Source organism: Homo sapiens, chromosome 5 (assembly GCF_000001405.40).
Source record: "Homo sapiens chromosome 5, GRCh38.p14 Primary Assembly".
NCBI lineage: Eukaryota > Metazoa > Chordata > Mammalia > Primates > Hominidae > Homo > Homo sapiens.
Genome location: NC_000005.10, coordinates 142547590 through 142571950, shown reverse-complemented (window position 1 = coordinate 142571950; position 24361 = coordinate 142547590). Strand labels below are relative to the sequence as shown.

Here is a 24361-nt window from a genome sequence, read left to right as displayed (position 1 = left end):
CTTAAAAATACCATTGCTTTTTAATGACTTTAGCCCCTACCGTATACAAATGAAGCTACTTAAATATAAATTATAGCTATCTCTTAATTAAAGAAAGCCTATTAAGTTCTTTGTCACAAAGGTGCATCCTTGAAGGTAATCATAATCTATTTCTCAAACATTTTACAGTTCAGACTGGCCCTACTACCAATCAATCTAAATGAGTGCGGAATTAGCTGAGCTCTAAGTCTGGGTAGGTTCAGACACATCTTACAAATAAAAGCAGATCCTGCAGAGTGTGAAAGCTTCTTCCCACATGGTACTTTTGGCCCCTATCTCCTTAAGTCTTCTAATGGCCTCGCAAACCCTGTGGAGAAATGAAGCAAGGGCCAGACAAAGTCAATCACATGAGATGCTATCAAAGACTACTTCCAGACCCAAGCAAACGATTACACCACAACCTGAGCCAGGGCACGCAAACAGAGGCTGGCTCCCCCAATGGGCCCTGGGCCACTTCCACGAGTCCCCTTTTCCCATAACCAAATTCTGACTACCATCTTCATCCTCTCAGGACACAAGAGACATTAATGGCAAAAAAGCTGGTAGAATTCCTAAAATCCTTTAAGCTTACGAAATACAAAGAACAATTACTAGATTCATACAAAGTATCAGATTCTTAGAACTAAAATCTTCCTTCTCCTGCCAATTTAAATTAAAAAGTAGGAGTGGCAAAAGAATCAAAAGCAGGTAAGCCCAGGAAGCTGAGGGTGCAGTGAGCCAAGATCATATTACTGCACTACAGCGTGGGTGACAGAGCCAGACCCTGTCTCAAAAAAAAAAAAAAAAAAAAAGAGTCCAGGCACAGTGGCTTACACCTGTAATCCCAGCATTTTGGGAAGCCGGGGCGGGTGGATCACTTGAGCCCAGGAATTCAAGACCAGCCTAGGCAACATGGTGAAAACCCATTTCTAAAAAAAAAATATCAAAAAAAAAAATTTGCCAAGTGTGGTGGTGTGTGCCTGTACTCTGGAGGCTAAGGTGAAAGAATCACTTCAGCTGGGGAGGTTGAGGCTGCAGTGAACTGAGATCATGCCACTGCACTCTAGCTGGGGCGACAGAGTGACATCCTATCTCAAAAAAAAAAAAAAATTTAAAAGCACAGACACAAACAACTACTTGTATGCCAATGTGAATAGCAACATTATTCACAATAACCAAACAGTATAAATAACCCAAGTGTCCCCAACATGAGTGGATAAAGAAAATGTGTTAGGCCGGGCGCGGTGGCTCACGCCTATAATCCCAGCACTTTGGGAGGCCGAGGCGGGCGGATCACAAGGTCAGGAGATGGAGACCATCATGGCCAACACGGTGAAACCCCGTCTCTACTAAAAATACAAAAAAAATTAGCCCGGCGAGGTGGCAGGCGCCTGTAGTCCCAGCTACTCGGGAGGCTGAGGCAGGAGAATGGTGTGAACCCGGGATGCAGAGGTTGCAGTGAGCCAAGATCGCGCCACTGCACTCCAGCCTGGGTGACAGAGCGAGACTCCGTCTCAAAAAAAAAAAAAAAGAAAGAAAATGTGTTATATACATGTAATGGACTAGTACTCAGCCATAAAAAGGAATGAAGCATTGTTACGTGCTACAATATGGATGAACCTTAAAAACGCTATGCTAAGTGAAAAAACCCAGACCCGAAGGGCCAAGTATTGTATGATTCCATTTATATGAGAATATCTAGAATAGGCAAATTCATAGAGATAAAAAGTAGATCAGAATTGCCAGAAGCTGGGGCAAATGGAGAGTTATTGCTTAATGGTTACACAGTTTCTATGTGGGGTGATGGAAACGTTTTGGAAACAGATAGTAGTGATGATTGCACAACAGTGTGAACGTAATTAATACCAGGTACTGATTTGTACGTTTCAAGATAGCTAAAGGGGAAAATTATATGTTATATGTTTCAGCACAATCTAAAAAAAAATAAAGGACTTGAATCACTGGAAACAACTCAAATGTCCTTCAACAAGTGAACGAATAAACAAATGGTGGTACATCCATATGTTGAAATAAAATGGAACCAACTATTGATATACACAACAACTTGGATTGATCCCAAAGGCATTTTGGTGAGTCACAGACGCCCATCTCAAAAAGGTGACATGCTGTAGGATTCCATGTATATGACATTCTCAAGAAGACAAAACTATAGGGATAGAGAACTGATGAGTGGTTGGCAGGGGTTAGGGGTCAGGGAAGCGTATGCTTATAAAGAGACAGCACAAGGGAGCTTAGTGGGGGTGGGTGATGGAACTGTCCTGAACCCTGATTATGGTGGTGGTGACAAGAATCTATACAAATGTTAAAATTCATAGAATGAGTCACCAAATTTTTTAAAAATCAAGTTTTTTTTTCTTTTTTGAGATGGAGTCTCGCACTGTCACCCAGGCTGAAGTGCAGTGGCGCGACCTCAGCTCACTGCAACCTCCACCTCCTGGGTTCGAGCAATTCTCCTGCCTCAAAGTAGCTGAGATTATAGGTGCATGCCACCACGCCAGGCTAATTTTTGTATTTTTAGTAGAGACGGGGTTTCACCATGTTGGCCAGGCTGGTCACGAACTCCTGACCTCAGGTGATCTGCCCCCCTCAGCCTCCCAAAGTGCTGGGATTAGAGGCGTGAGCCACTGTGCCCAGCCAAGTTATTTTTTAAAAGTGGGGTAGAAGGAGAAATGGCACCAATTGCTATCACTGCTCTTACAACTCTGATTTCCTGTTTCTTTTTTCTACTTTTATTTTAGAATCAAGGGGTACATGTACAGACATGTTACAAAGGTGTATCGCATGATGCTGACATTTGGAGTACAAATGAATCCGTCACCCAGATATTGAGTATAGTATCTGTGGGTTTCTTAATCTCTTAAAATTGTCCAAAGATCAGTCTGGGGGGAAATACAACTTGTAAAATTACAGTAAAGGGTTTATATTTCTATTCCTAGAAGAGATTCTTTCCCTGCACCTCATCCACCCACATATAGTCACACTGTTTGTCTTTTCAGCCTTGACGTCTTTCCTGGACAAAACTTCTTTCACTTGAGAAAAAGAAACGTGGCTGTGTCCCAGTGATAATGTCCACAGAGTCCTGGAAAATACTGGAACACACGTCAATCACGGCACAATGAGGGCAGTGCTCGGAACCCTTCCTCTGAGGTGCAACACTGGCATGTTCTCAAAGTGCAAGCCTCCTGGGTTGTTTAATAAGGATAGCCCCTGAAAACCTTCTGGTTTCATGACTGTGAGTACCTGGAAGTACCCAGGTCCACAACAGCCCATATAGGCTCCATCTAACAAACACACACAAAAAACTGTGGGAGACCCTGGATCCAGCCCAGCGGTCTGCAGAAGAAAAATGCCGAGAGAAAGCTCCCAGCTATCTCATATTTCCGTGATAATTCACGCTGCACTGGCAGCTCTGGCCTTTGGAAGCCTCTGGAAGGCCCTGGGACATTATTTATGGCAGCTACAGACAGCTACAGGCCCTGGATGTGAGCTGGACAAACTTGGGAGAAAGCAGAGGACTGACTGCCCTGTTTTATCTCACCATGCGCTTCCTCATCTCTCCTGTCTGGGTGGGGGTGTCACCCAGTGAAAGAGTATTTTACAAGCAAGCCATTCATCAGGACTCCTAATTAAAAAGCTGGAAAGCCTAACACTAGAATTGGTTTTGCCATCTTCCAACACCTCATTAACCTCATCACTGGTCGTCTGTTGAGGGCAGGATGCTCAGGAATTACTACATAGGATCTATCCTTAATGCTCAAGCAGAAAGAGAAACAGCAACACTACTTAAAAAAAATACTTCCCCCAATCCCCCAGATCATGAACAAAACAGGAAGGATGTGAAAAGGGGAGGAAGATCTACTTAAACTCTACTAAATTTAGGAATATGCACCTTTACCCAGAGGAAAATAGAGGAGGAATATTAAGTAACTCATTTTTCATAGGCCTTTCTAGTAAAGGGGAAGATGTTCTCTCAACTTCTCTCTGAAACAGACAGCTAAGAATAAATAGCTAGGGGTTTGACCCATACTGTGAACCAAAAGTACTTTTTGTGAATTTTGAACTTAGCCCAAGTATTCCTTTTTTTACTCGACTGCAAAACTAAACTTATGTTTTAAATACATAAGTAAACCTCAGGGATGTAGTTCAAACTGCAACCATGTCCATTTATTTTCTGTGACTGGTGAACTGAAACACAACAATATTCACACAACGAAACCGATATTTCTATGTTTTTGACTCCAGTATCATGGAAATGAGAGGAAGAAACTAGGTTGTATTCAAGCAACCATGACTCTTACTCTATCTCATTCCTGGTGAAAAATTGGTGATACTTGAAGGAGATAGCCCCAAGTGGTGGGACAAGACCCAAAACTGGACCTGAATCTGTGATGCTCTCACTGACCCACCAGTACCAGCCTGTCTTCCTTTGTTGGTTCCCTACAAGAAGGAAGTTACAGAGCCCGTTTTTTCAATCAAAATAAGAAATCAAGAAACCAAACAATGGATTCTCTCTTTTTTTTTTTTTTTTTTTTTTTTGAGATGCAGTCTCACTCTGTCGCCCAGGCTAGAGTGCAGTGGCGTGATCTCGGCTCACTGCCAGCTCCGCCTCCCGGGTTCACGCCATTCTCCTGCCTCAGCCTACCGAGTAGCTGGGACTACAGGCGCCCCCACCACGCCCGACTAATTTTTTGTATTTTTTAGTAGAGACGGGGTTTCACCGTGTTAGCCAGGATGGTCTCGATCTCCTGACTTCGTGATCCACCCGCCTCGGCCTCCCAAAGTGCTGGGATTACAGGCATGAGCCACCACCCCCAGCTTGTTTGTTCATTTCTGCATTTGAAGTACTCTTCAATAACATCCTCCACCTGAGATTCTTTGCCACAGTTCTTAACTATGACACAACACAACTGACCGCTGTACAGGGTCTTCCCTCTCTGTCAATTTCACAGGGACCACCTACCTGTCCCCTTGGCTTCTTCTGTCATCACCCTCCCTTAAGTCTATTGACCTGGAGTTCAGCACAAAGGGCCTCCCCTGATTTGACAGAGGTGGGCTCATCATGCAGGCTCACAGAGATGGGCTTGGCTCTCATCTAAGGCTCTGACAGCTTTGTAAATCCTTATGCTGGGCCATCATGCATGAGGGCGGTCAGCACTTCTTGTAAAGCAGTGTTAACGTCCAGGACACTTCCTGCAGCAGTGGCTTCCTGGGCCTTGGCGGTGGGTCACGACTGAAGCCAAATCAAGGCCACACCTGAGCCTTCACATGATTCAGCAGCAGCAGCAGCAGGGAACAAGCAATCACCAACCTCTATCTTTTTATAAACGGGGAGACTAAGGTCCCGAGAGAGTAAGTGATGGGCCCAAGGACACAAAACTATTTTGTGGCAGAGGCTGAACCTGAACTTGGTGACTTCACAGCCTGTCTTAGGTCCTTTTCATTCTCTCAAGGTCACTCAAGCAGCCACTCAAACAAGGTCTTGACTGCGTCCCTCCACCCTGAGGGGTACCCCCACTTGTCTCCCTACTACACAGTCTCCCATCACCGCCTTGTTTCCTTGGCTCCTTATTTATCCAAATATCTTGCTGTATTCAAGGTCAAACCCCAGCTCCTCTAACAAACCAGACCCTTTTTGTTTTTTTGAGATGGAGTTTCACTCTTGTCTCCCAGGCTGGAGTGCAATGGCGTAATCTCGGCTCACTGCAACCTCCACCTCCCGGGTTCAAGCGATTCTCCTGCCTCAGCCTCCCGAGTAGCTGGGATTACAGGTGCCCATCACCATGCCCAGCTAATTTTTGTATTTTTAGTAGAGACGGAGTTTCACAGTGTTGGCCAGGTTAGTCTCGAACTCCTGACCGCAAGTGATCCACCCGCCTCAGCCTCCCAAAGTGCTGGAATTATAAGCACGAGCCACTGCTCCTGGCGCAGACCCTTTTTCTTTGTAAACCTTCCACTCAGTTCCAGTTTCCCATCTAAGCAACATACCTGGTTTACAGTGAGGTTATCTAGTAATGGGGACTGACATCCTCAGGTCTGTGTAAATGACCGTGGCTCAAGTAACTTGTTCCAGCCCCTTGGAAATCTATGGTGACTCTCCCAAACAACATAGGGAAGTGGGCTCTCCAAATGTTGGAACAGTCCACCTTCAATGTACTAATGCCTTAATCATATAATAACAATAGTTGTATATGTGTGTACACAGACACAAGCTCACACAATACAAATTAGAGCCTATGTGTTGATGATGGTTGTTCTTGCTGTAATGTTTAGCCCAAAACACCAGCAATAAAGGCCCTTGAAGATCATGGGAGTTTACCGTGCATGATGCAGTAGACTCCATCCCAGGCTGGAAGTCATTATAATGTGTTCTTTGTCCTGATTTTCCGAGCCAGAACTCCTAGAGCCCGATCTGCATGCCAACTCAGGATACCTGGGGAATCAGCCTAGATCAGCAGGAATTTTATTTGCCTGAGGCCCCCAAAACCTCATAAAATAGTGGTTTTCAAGCATCTTTGGCTATCTGTAATGGGTGGAGATAAGGGACAGTCTCCACATTTGTAAAAGATAAATGGTTGAGGAGGACATTATATGTTGTGTAAGATTCCTTTTCTAGAAGTTTACATATGGATCTAAAATTTCCTGGGTTTGCCTTACAGAGGGTGTTTAAGGCAAAACCTAACTTTTTTTCTTGAACTACTGCTTCTGGGCACTTACCGGGGAACATGAAATTGTCTCCTTTCCCCATTCCACTCTCAGGCAAGGTCTGAATTCGTTTTTAAAGATCTGAGCACCCTATCCCTCTCACCAACCTCTCTCCTTCCCTTCCCTCTCCGTCACCCCTTCTCTTAGAAGTAAACTACATTTTGGCGGGGAGTGGTGGCTCACGCCTGTAATCCCAGCACTCTGGGAGGCAGAGGCGGGCGGATCATGAGGTCAGGAAATCAAGACCATCCTGGCTAACATGGTGAAACCCCGTCTCTACTAAAAACACAAAAATTTAGCTGGGCATGGTGGCATGCGCCTGTAGTCCCAGCTACTCGGGAGGCTGAGGCAGGAGAATCACTTGAACCCGGGTGACAGAGGTTGCAGTGAGCTGAGATCGCACCACTGCACTCCAGTCTGGGTGACAGAGCAAGACTCCATCACACACACACAAAAAAAGTAAACTACATTTTTTAGTTTAGGGGGGTTTCATTGGATCATCCCAGAGGGAAGGATGGAGGCCACTGTCTTGTGCCAAAAAAGCAGAAGCAGCCAGATTTGAGAGGGTGGCTGCAATAGAAGGTCAGGGTTTTGGAGTTTCCGTGTACAGTGTTTGGATGTCTGCACCCTATTGGCACACCATACACCGAACAGGAACGGCGAACAGCTGCTAAGCCACAAAACATTGAGAGCAGTGCCAGGGGCTTCTACACCCTCCGTGGACCTACAAAAAGCTCTTTGAAGGACATCTCTGGGCCTCTCGGGGCAGTAGTGCCCAACAGATGGCCAAGAAAAACCACCTGGAAATAAATACCCAAAGTACTTCCCAACTCAACTTATGTGGCCAGTATTACCCTGATACCAAAACCAGACAAAGACATTAAAAGAAAACTACAAACCAATATCCTTTATGAACATAGATGCAAAAATCCCTAACAAAACATTAGCAAATTTATTCTAGAAATAAAGAAAAAGGATAGTTGTGATATATTCACATAACAGAAAACTACTCAGCAATAAAGAGTAACCAACTACTGATCCCTATAACAACATGGATGAAACTCAAAAACATTACATTGGCCAGGCACGGTGGCTCACACCTGTAATCCCAGCACTTTGGGAGGTCAAGGCGGGTGGATCACTTGAGGCCAGGAGCTCAAGACCAGCCTAACCAACATGATGAAACCCCATCTCTACTAAAAATACAAAAATTAGCTGGGTGCGGTGGCACACACCTGTAATCCCAGCTACTCGGGAGGCTGAGGCAGGAAAATCGCTTGAACCCGGGAGGCAGACATTGTAGTGAGCCAAGATCTCACCACTGCACTCCAGCCTGGGTGACAACAGAGGGAGACTCCTCTCAAAAAAAAAAAAAAAAAAATTACATGGAGTAAAAGAAATCAGACAAAAAAATATGTGTGTATAGACATAGACATATAGATATATATGACTCCATTTATATCAAAATGTAGAAAAGACAAATCAAATGACAGCAGTTCAGTGATTGCTGGGGGGTAACGATGGGAAGAAATGGGCAGTGAGGACTGACAGGGAGGGGGCCCAAGGAAACTTTTGGGGGTAATGGAAATGCACATCTTGATCATGGTGGTTGTCCTGGATATATAACTTTTTCTTTTTTTTTTTTTTTTTTTTTTTTTTTGAGAGGGAGTCTCCCTCTGTTGTCACCCAGGCTGGAGTGCAGTGGTGAGATCTTGGCTCACTACAATGTCTGCCTCCCGGGTTCAAGCGATTTTCCTGCCTCAGCTTCCCGAGTAGCTGGGATTACAGGCGTGTGCCACCACACCCAGCTAATTTTTGTATTTTTAGTAGACATGGGGTTTCATCATGTTGGTTAGGCTGGTCTCGAGCTCCTGACCTCGTGATCAACCTGCCTTGGCCTCCCCAAGTGCTGGGATTACAGGCGTGAGCCACCGCACCTGGCCTGGATGTATAACTTTTTCAAATCACATCATTATGGAACTTTAAATGGGTGCATTTTATGGTACTAAACTACAGCTCAATAAAATTGATTTTTTTTTTTTTTTTTTTTTTTTTTGAGACAGAGTCTCACTCTGTCACCCAGGCTGGAGTGCAGTGGCACAATCTTGGCTCACTGCAACCTCCGCCTCCCGGGTTCAAGCGATTCTCCTGCCTCAGCCTCCTGAGTAGCTGGGATTACAGGCACCCACCACAACACCTGGCTAATTTTTTGTATTTTTAGTAGAGACAAGGTTTCACCGTGTTAGCCAGGATGGTTTTGATCTCCTGACCTCGTGATCCACCCACCTCGGCCTCCCAGAGTGCTGGGATTACAGGTGTGAGCCACCGCGCCTGGCCAAAATTGATTTTTTTCTAAAAAGTCTGAAACCAAGCTTGTCTAATGGGGGCCCTAATCCTTAAAAGGCCACAGTATTCAGTGGAGTTGGCCCAACGAGCTCTAGTCACCCAGATGGAAACTTATTTCCTACACCAAGGATTCTCGGCAAGTTGTCAGAGAGGAGTCTTGGGAAAGGGGGCAATGGTGAAAACAGCAGAAAACAATTAACCCAAACTATGAGAACCCTGAATACCCAGTAACTAACCAGAAGAGACAGTGCATCAAAAATCCATGTGCCTGATGGCCCTAGATGGCTTCCAAGGGCTCAGGCATCAAGGCTTACAAGGGTTAAGGTCCTTTCTTCAGGTTCTAACAGCCTGTTGTTTTTCTTGGCAAGGCTTTCTCATGAGAAGCCATGAAGAGCTAAGCACAGCTCCCAGAAGACAGCCAGCCAATAAATGGGGGCCTCAGTCCCGCAGCCACAAGGAACTGAATTCTGCCAACGGGCTGAATGAGCTTGGAAGTGGATTCTTCCTCTGAGCCTCCAGAAAAGGAACTTGGTCCTACCAACACCTTGATTTTGGTCTGTGAGGCCCAGAACAGACGGGCCAGCTGAAAGTCAGACTTATGACAGGCCAAGTCCTCAGTTTTTACCAAAAGAACTCCACATTTGCTAATGTGGAGGAAAAGACTGACATTGGTCATTCGATGTTACTAGAGTTCTCTTCACTTTTCAAATTCACTTGACATGGACTTGTCACTTACAATGATAAAAGAGCATTTATAGGAGGTCATCTCAATAGATATTTTTAAATAAAAATAATATTGTCTTGAGATTGCATTCAGTGTTTAGATTTGCAAGCCAATGGCTCCAAAGAGTTAATGTGCCTCCTTAAATGTTTAGCTTCTTACCAGGCAGCGCCTTGAGCACTGAGGAGAGAGGAGTGTAAAGCACTGTAAAATTTGAGCTGTGAGTTATCACTGCAGGAGAACATTCCTAGGCGTCTCAGTATAAGTTTTTTTTCTAATAAACTACAACCTGAGAAGAGACAGATCAGGCACCAGGATTTAAAAAAGAAGTTGCCCATCAAAACAGTGCAAAGTAGACACGTTTTCATTTATTTTCTTTGGAACATTCTTGTTGGCAGCTGCATCCATTTGGTTAATGGAATATTCTTGACTCATGAAACAGGCTCATTACGGAAACAGACTCAAACCAAGAGTGCGGTAGGATGTGGAGCCACCCTTGCTCTCCCATGGCACATTCTCTTAAAAGTGGTGCCTTTCCGTGACTCTTAGAGATAGCATGTGGTCATGATGGGCGTTAGAATCAGGATGAAAGACCTTAGAGGAAGCAGCATGAAAACAAGACTGTGTGAGAAGTAACAGTCAGTGTTGGACATCTCCATGCTGACCACTTTTACACCAGGGCCTGGCATGAACTCTGCACACCTCGCCTGCCCTGAGACTGTTTATTCCAAGAGCTACCAGGGCTCATCCTTCAGGACCCTTAACTATAGGACTTCACGACAAGGCTCTCAATCTGGGTCTCTCTCCCCTGAAATGAGAACTAGACACTTCTCCATGTATTCCCAAGAATAACTTTCAATGAGAATTAGTATCTGTTAGGGATGTGCATTTTAACAAAGAACTTTTGGTTCCAGGAAAACCAAATTCCATAACCATGACTCTAACGGCAACAAAAAACAAACCCAAACTTCTACCAGGGCCCACTTATTTCTATCAATATTTAATGCCATGTAACTCTAGTATAACCCAGAGTCTGATAATCCTTGAAAAATTGTTCATATTGAAGTTGACCTATGAATATGTTGAAAGAAAAAAAAAAGATCTTTAGTCAAGCATTGACTTTTTTTTTTTTTTTTTTGACAGAGTTTCACTCTTGTCGCCCAGGCTGCCAGGCTGGAGTGCAATGGCGTGATATCTCAGCTCACCACAACCTCCGCCTCCCGGGTTCAAGCGATTCTCCTGCCTCAGCCTCCCAAGTAGCTGGGATTACGGGCATGCGCCACCACACCCGGCTAATTTTTTGTATTTTTAGTAGAGACGGGGTTTCACCATGGTGGTCAGGCTTGTCTCAAACTCCCGACCTCAGGTGATCTGCCTGCCTCGGCCTCCCAAAGTGCTGGGATTACTGGCGTGAGCCACCGTACCCAGCCAAGCATTGACTTTTTCTATAAATTTTTCACATCAATGACTGACAGTTGTGCAGCATTTCAAGAAGTTTAATACTAAGACCTGCATCTTTTTAGAAAACTGTAATCATAATTTGTTATTTATAGGTCATCTCTCTTCTCCTCTGACTAGTCTTCCCAGCTGTCCTTGGCCATGCCCTCTATCTTGATCCCCACTCCACCCCAAAGTGGCAAAGAGCTTAAAAGCTCTGCTAGGATCAGTCAACCCTGCAGGCTAAACGAAGCCTTAAGGAGGAGAACTGTTCAGGAACAGCCCTCTGGCCCCCTCCCTCGACATTTGCACAAAGAACAGTTTTAGATTCTTTAGTTCCACCACATCCAAGATTTTTCCCCAAACTTCACATATTATGGTCAGTAAAATTAAATTTGCAACTTGAAGTAGGAGGAATAAAGTCAGTTGAAAAGTGATAAGAAATTAGGTTTTCCAAAACTAATCAGCTTCCGATATATGAACACAAACAACTCTGCTCAAGAGAAAACAAAACAATCTTTTTTCCTTCCCACATGTAAGTTTCACAAACAATATTATAAACAAAAAAAAAGACTAGGCATCCATGGGAAGAGAGGAAGAACCCTATAGGATTTGCCCTCGCCCTGTTTTGTTTATTCTACCCCAGAAAGAGGGGCACTAAATCCCATAAACTCCTGTACTCTAGGGGCTACATTTTTTTTTTAATTGTACTTTAAATTAAATAAACAAACTTTCTGAAGTACTGCCATTTGTTGGAGAAGAATGTAAATCTGGACTTAATGGGCCTCAGATGTCCTTCGGGGCTGTCTGAACTTGACCATGAATGGACAAGTCTGAAGCCCCTGAAGGTATTAGTGTACAACTGTGGATCAGTTTAACTGAAGACTTTCTTCTTCATTTAGTGATGCATTCTCCTCCCGTCCCTGCATACACCTGGAACTCGAAGGGGTAACCGTAGGGCTATGGACCATATCCCTTGAAGGGGTAATCATAGGGCTATCCAACATGGTCCGAGGAGGGGTGTTCCTGATGAAGGTTGACCAGGAGAGCTTCTGATGTCCTCCAGTGCCCAACAGAAATGAGAAGCAAGAGTCAGCCGTCTCCAGGCTTACCACAAATACATCCAAGTTTCCCCAGGACATTCTACTTTGCCCATAAATCCCCATTCCATTGTTGGGGCTCAGAAAACAAGATCCCAAAATGAAGACCCAAGAAACAGCCTCAGAAGCAAAAGTATTTCTCTGACCTTCCCTGCCTTCCTGTCTCTCAGTCCCATTCTCCCTGGGGTAAGGCATGGAAACTAGGATCCCTCTTCCCCAAAGTGGGTCGTAAAAACCAAAATCCGTTTTCCCCAAACCCAGCCATAAAACCTAAAAATATTAGGCTAACTTTTACTCTGCCTTTCTGTGTCAAAAACTGGCCATTAAAAAGAAATGTTCTGGCCTGGTGCAGTGGCTCACACCTGTAATCCCAGCACTTTGGGAGGCTGAGGCGGGTGGAGGCTTGAGGTCAGGAGCTTGAGACTAGCCTGGCCAACATGGCGAAACCCCGTCTCTACTGAAAATACAAAAATTAGCTGGGCATGGTGGCATACACCTATAATCCCAGCTACTCTGGAGGCTGAGTCAGGACAATTGTTTGAACCCAGGAGGCAGAGGTTGCAGTGAGCTAAGATCGCACCACTGCACTCCAGCCTGTGTGACAGAGTAAGATTCCATCTCAAAAAAAAAAAAAGAAAAAAAAAAAGGCCAGGCGTGGTGGCTCATGCCTGTAATCCCAGCACTTTGGGAGGCCAAGGTGGGCGGATCATGCGGTCAGGAGATCGAGAACATCCTGGCTAACACAGTGAAACCCCATCTCTACTAAAAAAAAAAAAAAAAAAAAAAAAAAAAAAAATTAGCCGGGAGTGGTGGCAGGCGCCTGTGGTCCCAGCTACTTGGGAGGCTGAGTCAGGAGAATGGCGTGAACCCAGGAGGTGGAGCTTGCAGTGAGCCTAGATCGTGCCACTGCACTCCAGCCTGGGCAACAGAGCGAGACTCTGTCTCTTAAAAAAAAAAAAAAAAAAAAAAAAGGTCTGACCTACCTTGTTTGACTGCAGGCCAAAAGACCCAGATTCCAGAAAAGGTCCTGCTTCACACCCAGAAGGAAGGAATACAAGTTCAGAGAGGCCCACAACAATCTAGACAGATAGGCCTGGCTGGGGTTCCCCACTTAGTCTATTAGCATTACAGCATACCTGTTTGGTCCAATCATATTTCTACCCAACTGCCTGTAATTTGTTGAACCTAACCATAAAAATAGACAATTTCCCCTGTGTCATTGTATCTTCATTCTGAAGGCTCTTGTATATACGTGTTAAGTACATTTGTATGTCTTTTCTCCAATTAACCTGCTTTTCACAAGGTGATTTTTCAGCGAGACTTTGGAGGGCCAATGAGAACTCTCCCTTGGTCCTCACATTATCCTCCTTGGACAAGTTCCATTTGCGAATGGAGTCATCTAAAAGGGTGTCCTCCAAAGACAGAGTACACCCTCAGAGGGGAAACTACCTTAACCTCTCTCAGTTTTAGTTCTCTCATCTAAGACATGGGGATGAAATTAGTATCCATGCCACAGAGTTGTTTAGAGGGTTTATTATTTAGAAAACACAGTTCAGGACAGGCGTGGTGGCTCACGCCTGTAATCCCAACACTTTGGGAGGCAAAAGTGGGCGGATCACCTTAAGTCGCGAGTTTGAGACCAGCCTGACCAACGTGGAGAAACCCCGTCTCTACTAAAAAAAAATACAAAATCAGCGGGGCATGGTGATGCATGCCTGTAGTCCCAGCTACTCGGGAGGCTGAGGCAGGAGAATCGCTTGAACCCGGGAGGCGGAGGTTGCAGTGAGCCAAGATTGCGCCATTGCACTCCAGCCTGGGCAACAAGAGCGAAACTCTGTCTCAAAAAAAAAAAAAAAAAAAAAAGACACAGTTCATTTCCTTTGACTAATGTTCTCTGCTCTTTTCTGTGGGCTCAGAAGTCTCTGGAACAGAAAAGATTTGGTCCGGGGGAAGTAGCGTGGATTTTTTGGCTTCTACTCAAGAGTCCAGGACTCACTTCTTAAGACTGTTAAGGTCATGAAAAATAGGGGAAAACTAGGCAACTCTCAGAACAGAGGAGCCTGGGGAGACACGACAGCTAAGTGCAATGTACCCCGGACTGCATCCTAGAGTTTAGTTCATAGTAATGTACCAATGTCTCTTGGTTTCTTAGTTTTGACAAATGTACCATGGCAATGTAAAATGTTAACAATGGGGGAAACTGAGTCGGCAGTATATGAAAATTCTGTGTACCCTCTTCGTACTATTTCTTTGACCCTAAAATTATGCCAAAATATAAAGCAAAAAATGCAAATATGAGGCTGAGTGCGGTGGCTCACGCCTGTAATCCCAGCACTTTGGGAGGCCAAGGCGGGCGGATCACGAGGTCAAAAGATCGAGACCATCCTGGCCAACATGGTGAAACCTGTCTCTACTAAAAATACAAAAAAATTAGCTAGGCGTGGTGGCGGGTGCCTGTAATCCCAGCTACTAGGGAGGCTGGGGCAGAAGAATTGTTTGAACCCAGGAGGCAGAGGTTGCAGTGAGCCGAGATTGCGTTACTACAGTCCACCTGGTGACAGAGTGAGACTCTGTCTCAAAAAAAAAAAAAAATTATAAATATGAAAAAATAAAGTCTATGATGATGCCACAGCATAAAAATCTAATAGCAATAGATACTCAGCAAGTGTTTATAATAGGCTAGGCTCTGAGCCACACACTGGCCTACCATTAGATATTGAGACCTCTCAACAACTCTATGACATGGGCACTAATTACATCTCCATGTCTTACATGAGGGAACTGAAGCCTAGAGAGGCTGGGTAGGGCCCAAGGTCATAGAGCTGGTAAGGAGGCTGAGGCCGAATTCAGACCTAGAGAGAGTAACTCCAAAGATTGTTTCTCACTTGCCACCACCCTAGCACCTACCATTCTACCATTTCTCCCTTTACAAGATGGAGGAAATACATTCTTGAAAGTTAACTCAAAGAGACAAAATAACATCGAATGAAGCAGGAAAACTCTCAGGGCACTTACTTCGAAAAAGGAAGACTGATGGGCTCTGTTTTTCCTCCCTCCTCTACCTTACAGGTTATCGCAATTTGTACTCATTGTACAAATGATACAAGTACATACAAATAATAAAAGTAATAATGGAAAAGTAAAACTGCAGAGAAGGCTCTAGAATGAAAATCAAATCCCTTCTGGTACACCCAGCCTCTTGTTCTAATGTTCAGAGTATGGAGAGGTAAGTTTAAGGTCCATAAAAATCAGAGTTTGTGCATAGACAGAATGTAGATTTGTCCATCAAATCCTGGACTATGAGAACCCCGATAGTTCTGAGAACTTTATAGGAATAATTTTAGAAGGAAACAAAAGCCACACTTAGTAGGAAGTAAGCTCCTGAAACTCTCTACCTGGGGAGTTGGCAGGAACATAAAAAGGTAAAAGGGCTCAGGAAGGTTTAGGGTGAATTCTTGGCTGATGGTCCTTAACAGTTGAGGGAAGCTGGAGAAGTTTAACTAGCATCCCAGTGTTTTTCTTTTTCCTATTTATTTATTTATTGAGACCGGTTCTCACTTTGTCACTCAGACTGCAGTGCAGTGGCATGATCATAGCTCACTGCAGCCTCGATCGACCTCCTGGGCTCAAGAGATCCTCCCACCTCAGCCTCCCAAGTAGCTGGGACTACAGGCATATGCCACCACACCCAGCTAATTATTTGTTATTTTGTAGAGACAAGGTCTTGCTTGCTATGTTGCCCAGGCTGATCTCAAACTCCTCGCCTCAAGTGATCCTCCCATCTCAGCCTCCCAAAGTGCTGGGATTACAGGTAAGAGCCACCACACCTGGCCCTAGTGTTTTAAAATTAACACAAGACAGATCAGCCATGATCTCCCTGGAGTCAGTATAGTTCAGTGAAGAAACAATGAAGTTGCATATTAGTTAGACATGTTTTTCAGCTGCTATAACAGAAAACCTAATAAACAAGAACAGAACTCCTATAAAGGCTTTTATTTGTTACTTAACAAGAAGTCTGGAAATGCATGATCTGAAGATTCATTCAACAACTCAACAATTTTGTGAAGGTTGCAGGTCTTTCCATTCATTCTTCAGCTTAACCACACCTGGCATAAAGGGTTTTTGTGTTTATACTTTTCAATTCATGAGTACAAGATAGCTGCCACAGCTCCAGGTGTCAGTGTCCCAAGCAGGAGAGCCAGGCAGGGAGACAAAAGTCTTCTCTTCACAAGGGCCTACTGATCTGAGAAGGAAATCCAGCCCAGTAGCACCCAGTAGATTTCTCCTTAGGTCTCAATGGCCAGACTAGATTTGGTCCCTGTTATGGTCTGAATGGTGTCCCCCATAAATTTATCAACTCTAATCTCTAGTATCTCAGAATGTGAATCCGTTTGGAGATAGAGCCATTAAAAAGGTTAAAATGGAGCCAGTAGGGTGGGCCCGAATCCAATCTCGCTGGCATCCTTGTTAGAAGAGGAAATTTGGGGCCAGGCATGGCAGCACATGCCTGTAATCCCAGCACTTTGAGAGGATGAAGCGGGTGGATCACTTGAGGTCAGGAGTTCGAAAACAGCCTGGCCAACATGGTAAAATCCCATCTTTACTAAAAATACAAAAATTAGCCAGGTGTGGTGGCAGGCACCTATAATCCCAGCTACTTGAGAGGCTGAGGCAGGAAAATCACTTAAACTCAGGAGGCGGAGGTTATAGTCAGCCGAGATCATGCCACTGCTCTCCAGCCTGGGTGACAAGAGTGAAACTCTGTCTTAAAAAAAAAAAAAAAAAAGAGGAAATTTGGACACACAAAGAGACACCAGGGACATGCACACACAGAGGAAAGACCATGTGAGCACGTAGCAAGAAAACAGCCATTTGCAAGCCAGAAAGAGAGCCTCATGAGAAACCAACCCTGCTGACACCTTGATCTTGGACTTCTAGACTCCAGAACCCAGAAAATAAATTTGTGTTGCTTAAGCCACTCAATCTGGGATTTTGTTGTAACAGCCCTAGCAAACTAATACAGTCCCCTAGCTGCAAAAGAGAGTCTATAAAAGGGTGATTTAGGAAGGGAATTCAGTGGCATTCTTGCCTCAGGCTGGGCACTCTCACCTCATACAAAATCAATTTTCTTAGCCAGGAAAGGGTTGGGGGAGTAGCTACTGGGTAGGCAACTAAAAATGTCCACCACAACTCTTGAGTTGAGAAAGCTGCATGCAATTGTACCTCTGCTACTTGGTAATAATACCTGTGGGTAAGACATGGAGTTTTCATTCAGTAAAATGGGTATGATAAGCAACATACAGGAATAACTAACAAGTTAGTCTCCTTCCTATCTCCCGACTCTGAAATTCTAAATCTGAGGGGTCTGTACCCAAAAAGGACTTTGCTTCTTTGACAAATGAAAATAAACAGGAATATTCACACAGAGTATGCATTTCTAAAATGCATGTTCCTTACAATACTTTCCGATGTTCTATTCCAACTTTCAACTATTCAACAGTGTATTTCCTGAAATAATCAACTAAACGAATCTGAATCTCCTTTCTTTACATTTTCAAAGCCCTAGGAACCCACAGTAAACACACACAAACACACACACGTACGCACGTGCAGCCAGACCCCTCCAGAAAATAAAGGTCTGACATTTTCCTGTTTGATTATATACTTCCTGAGGGCAAAAATTAGACATGGTCATTCCTGTGATGCCATAGACCACTTTACACAGTAGCAATGAGGGCTTGCCTAATGAATGAGGGGAAAACAGCCACTGAGAATCCATCTTATGGGCCACTCATTTCACTAAGACTAGTCAAATATAAGCAATGAACCTGTTTTTTCTGGAAGATGGGTCTCATCATCTTTAAAGCTGCTAAGGATCAAATTATTTTCTTCTCTAAAGAGCTTCACATATTGGGAAAGCTATCATTATGAAACAATAAGTGTTTTCCTTATATGAAGACATTTTATTTTTTAAAACTGCCAAGAAAGGACACATTAGTTAATGAATAGCATGAGAATACCTGATAAGGGAGGTGGGAAATAATGTCTGACCTGTATTATATGATTTATTTTCCCCTCAACATTTTAAAGATTTAAATGTGAAAAATACAAAGGAAAACATGAGTTATTTTTCAAAAATGCTTAGTTTATAGGTAGGCTTCTTTTCTCTTTCTTTTCTCTTTTTCTTTCTTCCTTCCTTTCTTAAGTTGAGGTCTCAGTCTGTTGCCCAGGCTGGAGTGCAGTGGCACAATCACAGCTCACCACAGCCTCAAATTCCTGGGCTCAAGCAATCCTCCCACCTCAGCCTCCCAAGTAGCTGGGATCATAGGTGCATAACACCATGCCTGGCTAATTTTTTAAAGTTTATTTTTGTGGAGATGAGGTCTCACTATGTTGCCCAGGTTGGTCTCGAACTCCTGGACTCATGCAGTACTCCCACCTCAGCCTCCCAAAGTGCTGGGATTACAGGTGCATGAACTACCACACTTGGCTTATGGAAGGGTTTCTAAGCATGTCCAGAAGCAAAAAACGAAAGAATTGATAAATTCACTACTATAATAAATAATTTTTAAAATATTTGTGAAAAATATATCATAAACAAGCCTAAATGACAAATGATAAAGTTGAGAACTACGGATAAAATCTATGATAGAAAAGCATTATTTTCCTATTTAGATGAAGAGATCTTCAAATCAGTAAGATGCAGATAAATAATAGAAAAATGGTCAAATTTTCATGAGCTGAGAATCACAGAAAATAATCAGTCATTATTTGGGAATAAGGTTAGAAGCCCACCCCTAAATAGTTAAATAATACTAAAATTTCTTTTAGGACTGTTAAAAAGTTTGATTGTATGTGTGTTTGTGATGGTACGTGCAACCACACACTTTTACTGGAGTTTTCACTGGCACGAACTTTTTTTTTTTTTTTTGAGACAGAGTTTTGCTCTTGTTACCCAGGCTGGAGTGCAATGGCCCGATCTTGGCTCACTGCAACCTCCACCTCTCGGGTTCAAGCGATTCTCCTGCCTTAGCCTCCCGATGTAACAATTTTTTTAATGAATAAAGCTAGATTTATTGAAATGGAAAACATCCAAAATGTGCTAAATAAAAAAAAGCAAGTTGTAGAACAAGATGTCCAATATGCTCCCATTTGTGTAAAGCAAAGAAAAAACATATATATACTTTTATATGCTTGTATGTGTATGGAACACTTCTGGAAGGATACGCAAAATACTGTTAACTGTGGTTCCGTCTGGAAACGATCTGTTTGAAATTTTTTACCGTGATTGCATATTTCTTTAGTAATAAAAAAATACACAGTTAAGATATAAAAAGCCCCATGATGCTTCCTCGGAAATTCTTCAAATGGGGAAAATTAAGCTAAAAGCGTTAGGGCTTATCACTTCCTCCTAACAGTTGGCTTTTGGAGAGACAGGGAAATGGTCCTAAGGAAAGGAGTTCCTTCAGGGTGGAATATTTGGAATTGCCCCATTTGGGTGGGGAAGGGGAGTGGGCTGAGGACCCAGGCAGGGCTCCTGCTCTCCAGCCCAGGAGGGAGAGCAAAGAGCAACAGATCAGGGAATTATCTCTCCCTGACTTCAGGAGCCAAATCAGCTCCGGAGGGGAGGGGAAAGGGGGTGGGCGAGGGAAGGCCCCCAGGGCAAGACATCAAACAGGACGGAGGCATCTCTGACCTCCGGGTCACAGGCCCGCGCGCTCCGGGAGCCCACCCGGGGCGCCGGCGCTGGAAGCCAATTCCGAGTGATTTAGGAAATCGCCCAGCCTGGGGGCTGGGGCGGGCAGGAAAGGAGCGATTAAGGGCGAGAAGGAGAAGTGAGGCTTCCTCGGGAATGAGCACATTTGGAAGCCAGGCAGGAAGCGGGCAGGAAGCTGCTCTCATAAAACAATCTGACAATTACGTGTCAGTGTAGGAGAAGGGCCCTGGAAATTATGGGGCTGCCGCGCCGCACTCCCGAGCCCTCCCCCGGTGATTTCCTCGGGGCTGCAATGAGCTGCGGGAGGAAATTATATTTGGGGCCAGGTGTTTGTTCCTGCACATTTGGGTTCAACTTGGGACTGAGAATTTTACGCTCACATGCTGAGGGAAACAATTCCCTGGTGCCTTTGTAAACCACGGCGGATGCACTGCCTCCAGCTGGACTGGGCTTTGGTACTGTGATTAGCATAGCTGGGATTTACCAAGCGCTTCCTCTAGCCAGGTGCTTCACCTGCAGCTCACAGCAAGGGGCCTGGATAGGTTCACTGACTTGCCACAGACAATCACTAGGGATGGCAGAGCAAGAATTTGAACCCAGGCACTGTCTCCAGAGCCCCACACTCAAATCCAACTTGAAAACATATTTCACAAACTTTTCATAAGAGCAACCAGAACCATTACTTTATACGTGTATCTGGAGGAAAGGGTTCCTAAGCAGACTGCTACCCACACATAGGCTGCCTTCTCCTTGTCATTCATTGATTCATTCACTTGTTCCTTCGTATCTATTAAGTACCTATGGTGTGGCCAGCAAAGTTAGGTACTATAAAATTATAAGACACATTCTGACTTCTTAAGAAGCCTTAGGCCTTCTAGAGGCCTTATGCCTGCAGTGGTGGCTCATGCCTGTGACCCCAGCACTTTGGAAGGATAAGGTGGACGGATTACTTGAGTCCAGGAGTTTGGGCAACATAGCAAGACCCTGTCTCTACAAAACAATAACAACAACAACGAAAATAGCTGGACACAGTGCCTGTAGTCCCAGCTACTTGGGAGGCTTAAGCAGGAGGATCACTTGAACCTGGGAGGTTGAGACTTCAGTGAGCCATGATTGCCCCACCGCACTCCAGCCTGGGCGACAGAGTGAGATCTTGTCTCAAAAAAACAAAACAAAACAAAACAAAACAAAAAAACACAAAGATAACTAGAGGGCACATTTTACAGGTTTTACAGGCTTAGATTCCAAACATATTTGCAGTCTTATCCTGGGCCTTGACATGATTCTTCTAAGCCCATTTGGATTTTCCTAGAGCAGACATGCTCCCTCAAACCCTCCAGACCAGGAGCATTTCCCAGAGCACACCTTTGGCAGCCTCCTGGTAGACCCTGATCCTCCCTCTAACTTCCTCCCTCCATTCAGAGGGCATCCTTTGGGAAGCTGGGGCCTATAAGACAATCTGAAGTTCCCCCAGGGGCACCTGAGAGGAGTCCAGCAGAGCAATGAAGTGTCCTGACTCCACCAACCACTAGCTGGATGACCTTGGGCAAGTTGCTTCACCTTTCTGAGCCTCCTCTGTAAGGTGAGGTTGTTGTGAGGATTAAATAGAAAAACACGCTGGGCTTTGAGCCCACTGCCTGGAACATAGTAAGTATTCAGTAAGTCTTGGCTGTGTCCCTGGAGGTCAGTGCTCTGTGCTCTGTTAGGAATAAGCCAACCCAGCTCTCAACACCTCTTCTATTAACAAACTGCTCTGAAGACACTGGAAATGCTATACTTCCCTCCTAGCTCAGTTCTGTGATGTCTCAAGTCACATTAATTTTTATGCAACGAACTATACCTGGAAACATGATTATTTCCTTAGTCACTGAATTCCTGAACGTTCATCTATTACTTGTGAATACTAAGCAGAACAATATTCACAGTGGACAGGAACAAGGTCTTTAGAGCTAGACTTCCAAGCTCAGGTCCCATCTCTGTAACTTGGGCAAGTTACTGAATAGCTTTGAACCTTAATTTTCTCATCTGTAAAAACTGGGATAATAAAGCTCTTATCCCATCAGGTAACTGTGAGCATCAGTTGAAAGAATGGTAAATGATTATGTGCTTGGCTTCAGGTAAAAACTCACTAAGTGACAGTTATTACCATTATTTTTCATTATTGTTACACTGACAATTGAACAAGCAAAACAGACACAATCTTTGACTTATGGGATAAAATGAACAATAGCCATGGTCATCAGTATGTAGCATGTAGATGGAGTTCGATGAAGTATTAGGGTAAATGTTCAGATGAAGCAGAAACCAGAATGCTGAGTAGAAAGGAGAAGGTATCATTAAAATGTCTTCATTTTCTGCAAATGTCATTGAGAAAAACAAATGACTGGTGAAGAAAAGACAAGAGGGTAGAAGGTGGTGGTAGGAGAGTCCTGAAAGTTTGAATTTTGCAGTTTTCTGTTAAATTGTTCAATAAAAGAAACTTCCAGTGTATCTCTTTCCAGAGACTTCGCAAGCTAAGGCTCTACCCTCCTCCTTTGGACAACTCCTTTCTCAGGGTCTGCCATTTCATGAAGAGACTGCCAGGTCGCACACATCACCTCACCGCTATACGATTTCTACCATATGCAGAGTTCCTCTAGCATGTTGGGAATTGTTTAAATAGCATTTTATAAACATTTAGTCATTCAGTCTTCATATTCTCTATCTATACTGACTCCAAGCTTTTATTTCATTTTATATTCACATCCCTGCCCTGCACACGGTGAGTACTCAAATAAGTTCCTGCTCCCTAACCAGTCTTACTTAGAATCTCCAATCTGACTCATTTGGACTTGTAAATGGTCCAGTGTGGCATTCAAATAAAAAAAAAATAGAAGGGGCCAGGAGGGGGCAGTGATGGGGCAGAGCTTGCCAGAGAAAAGGAGATGCCTGCTATTATCCCAGATGATTTCAGGACACACAGAGATCGTTTGCATTTAGCCCAGGAGAGGGTGCTACCTACTTCTAAGACAGCCTCTCCAAGAAAGACCAGCAGCAAGGCCTCTGCCACCTGAAGTGAGGCTGGGGCTCAGGCTCCCCCGCAGCCCTTTCGCTAGTGCAGAGGAAATGCCCGACTCCCCTACCCCTCCTTTGATACAAAGACCTCTTCTAAAATAGCAGGCAGGTGTCAAGGGAGCATGAAAATATCAGCAGAGCAGATGCAAAAAGAGTACACGGATGTACAGATCCAGGACAAAGATTTTCATCTTGTTTTAAGCATTTATCCAAGCAGCTCGCTGGATATTGGGGATAAAGAAAAAACAAACAAACAAAAAAACTCCATTATCTCCATCATCACCACTACTACTGCTGCATATACTCTGAGACTGCTTTTAAAAGATTCTGAGAAGAGAGGGGAAGTGTCAAGTATAGGGTTGGGTGGTCAGAGATCACAGTATATTGATGAGCCCTAAATGTGGATCTTCTTCCAGTCTTTAAATAAGGTATCTTTCTATTACCTATATTCTATTTAGAATATAATTCTATTTTCAAAGTCATTTTGTATTTGTGGTGAAATAACCCCTCTGTAGCCTGGGATCTAGAAGACCAGGTTTTATATTCCTGGTGGCATTCCCTATTCTGCCTCTCCAATGATTTTCTGCTAGTTCCATCATTTCTTGAGAGCTTAATATGCCTCTATCTTTTTTTTTTTTTGACAGCGTCACGCTCTGTTGCCCAGGCTGGAGTGCAGTGATGCAATCACAGCTCACTGCAGCCTTGACCTCCTGTTTGCCTATATCTTGAATTCTTGAATAAGAATAATCACTAGCATCTTTTCAGCAATAAGACAGAACTTTTGCCCATAATGCACTTTAAACAAAAGAAAGCATTATACTGAAGCAGATCACTCACCTGCTTCTCATTTGTCTTTTGAACAAAAGTCAGACGTCATTCTTTCTCTGAACAGAAACCCAGATAACAAAAGTAATAAGTGAATAAGAAATAAAGTTAATGTCCAATTGTGGTTTCCATCTGAGTTTAAAAAGCAGCTTTGGCACAGTTGCTGGGAACGTAACTGCAGGGAGCACTACTTAGATATTTAACATACGATTTAACCTAGCAACTCCAATTCTATGAATCACGTCTACCAATGTATTGGTACATAGATAGATGTGCAAAGGAATCCGTTGCAGCAATCTTTGTCCAGACTTCCAGAGCAAGACTCTGGAAACAAATGTCTATTAACAGGAAATTGGTGAAATAAATTACGGTACATCTACTGTACAATGGAATTCTATGCAGTCAGAAGTCGATGTATAT

General features: G+C 43.9%; 1 pseudogene, besides 2 other annotated features; it reads right to left on the bottom strand.

The window, feature by feature from the left end:
• On the bottom strand, positions 4869-5251 carry RPS12P10 (ribosomal protein S12 pseudogene 10; annotated as a pseudogene).
• Positions 19240-21461: an enhancer, noted in NCBI's record as "VISTA enhancer hs1640". NCBI's record gives its function as "enhancer in: tail[5/7]" and the evidence as "EXISTENCE:transgenic organism evidence [ECO:0001131][PMID:17130149]".
• Positions 20257-20903: an enhancer, noted in NCBI's record as "OCT4-NANOG-H3K27ac-H3K4me1 hESC enhancer chr5:141930613-141931259 (GRCh37/hg19 assembly coordinates)". NCBI's record gives its function as "activates a minimal SCP1, AML or CMV promoter by ChIP-STARR-seq in naive H9 embryonic stem cells {active_cell/tissue: H9 hESC(naive)}" and the evidence as "EXISTENCE:reporter gene assay evidence [ECO:0000049][PMID:30033119]".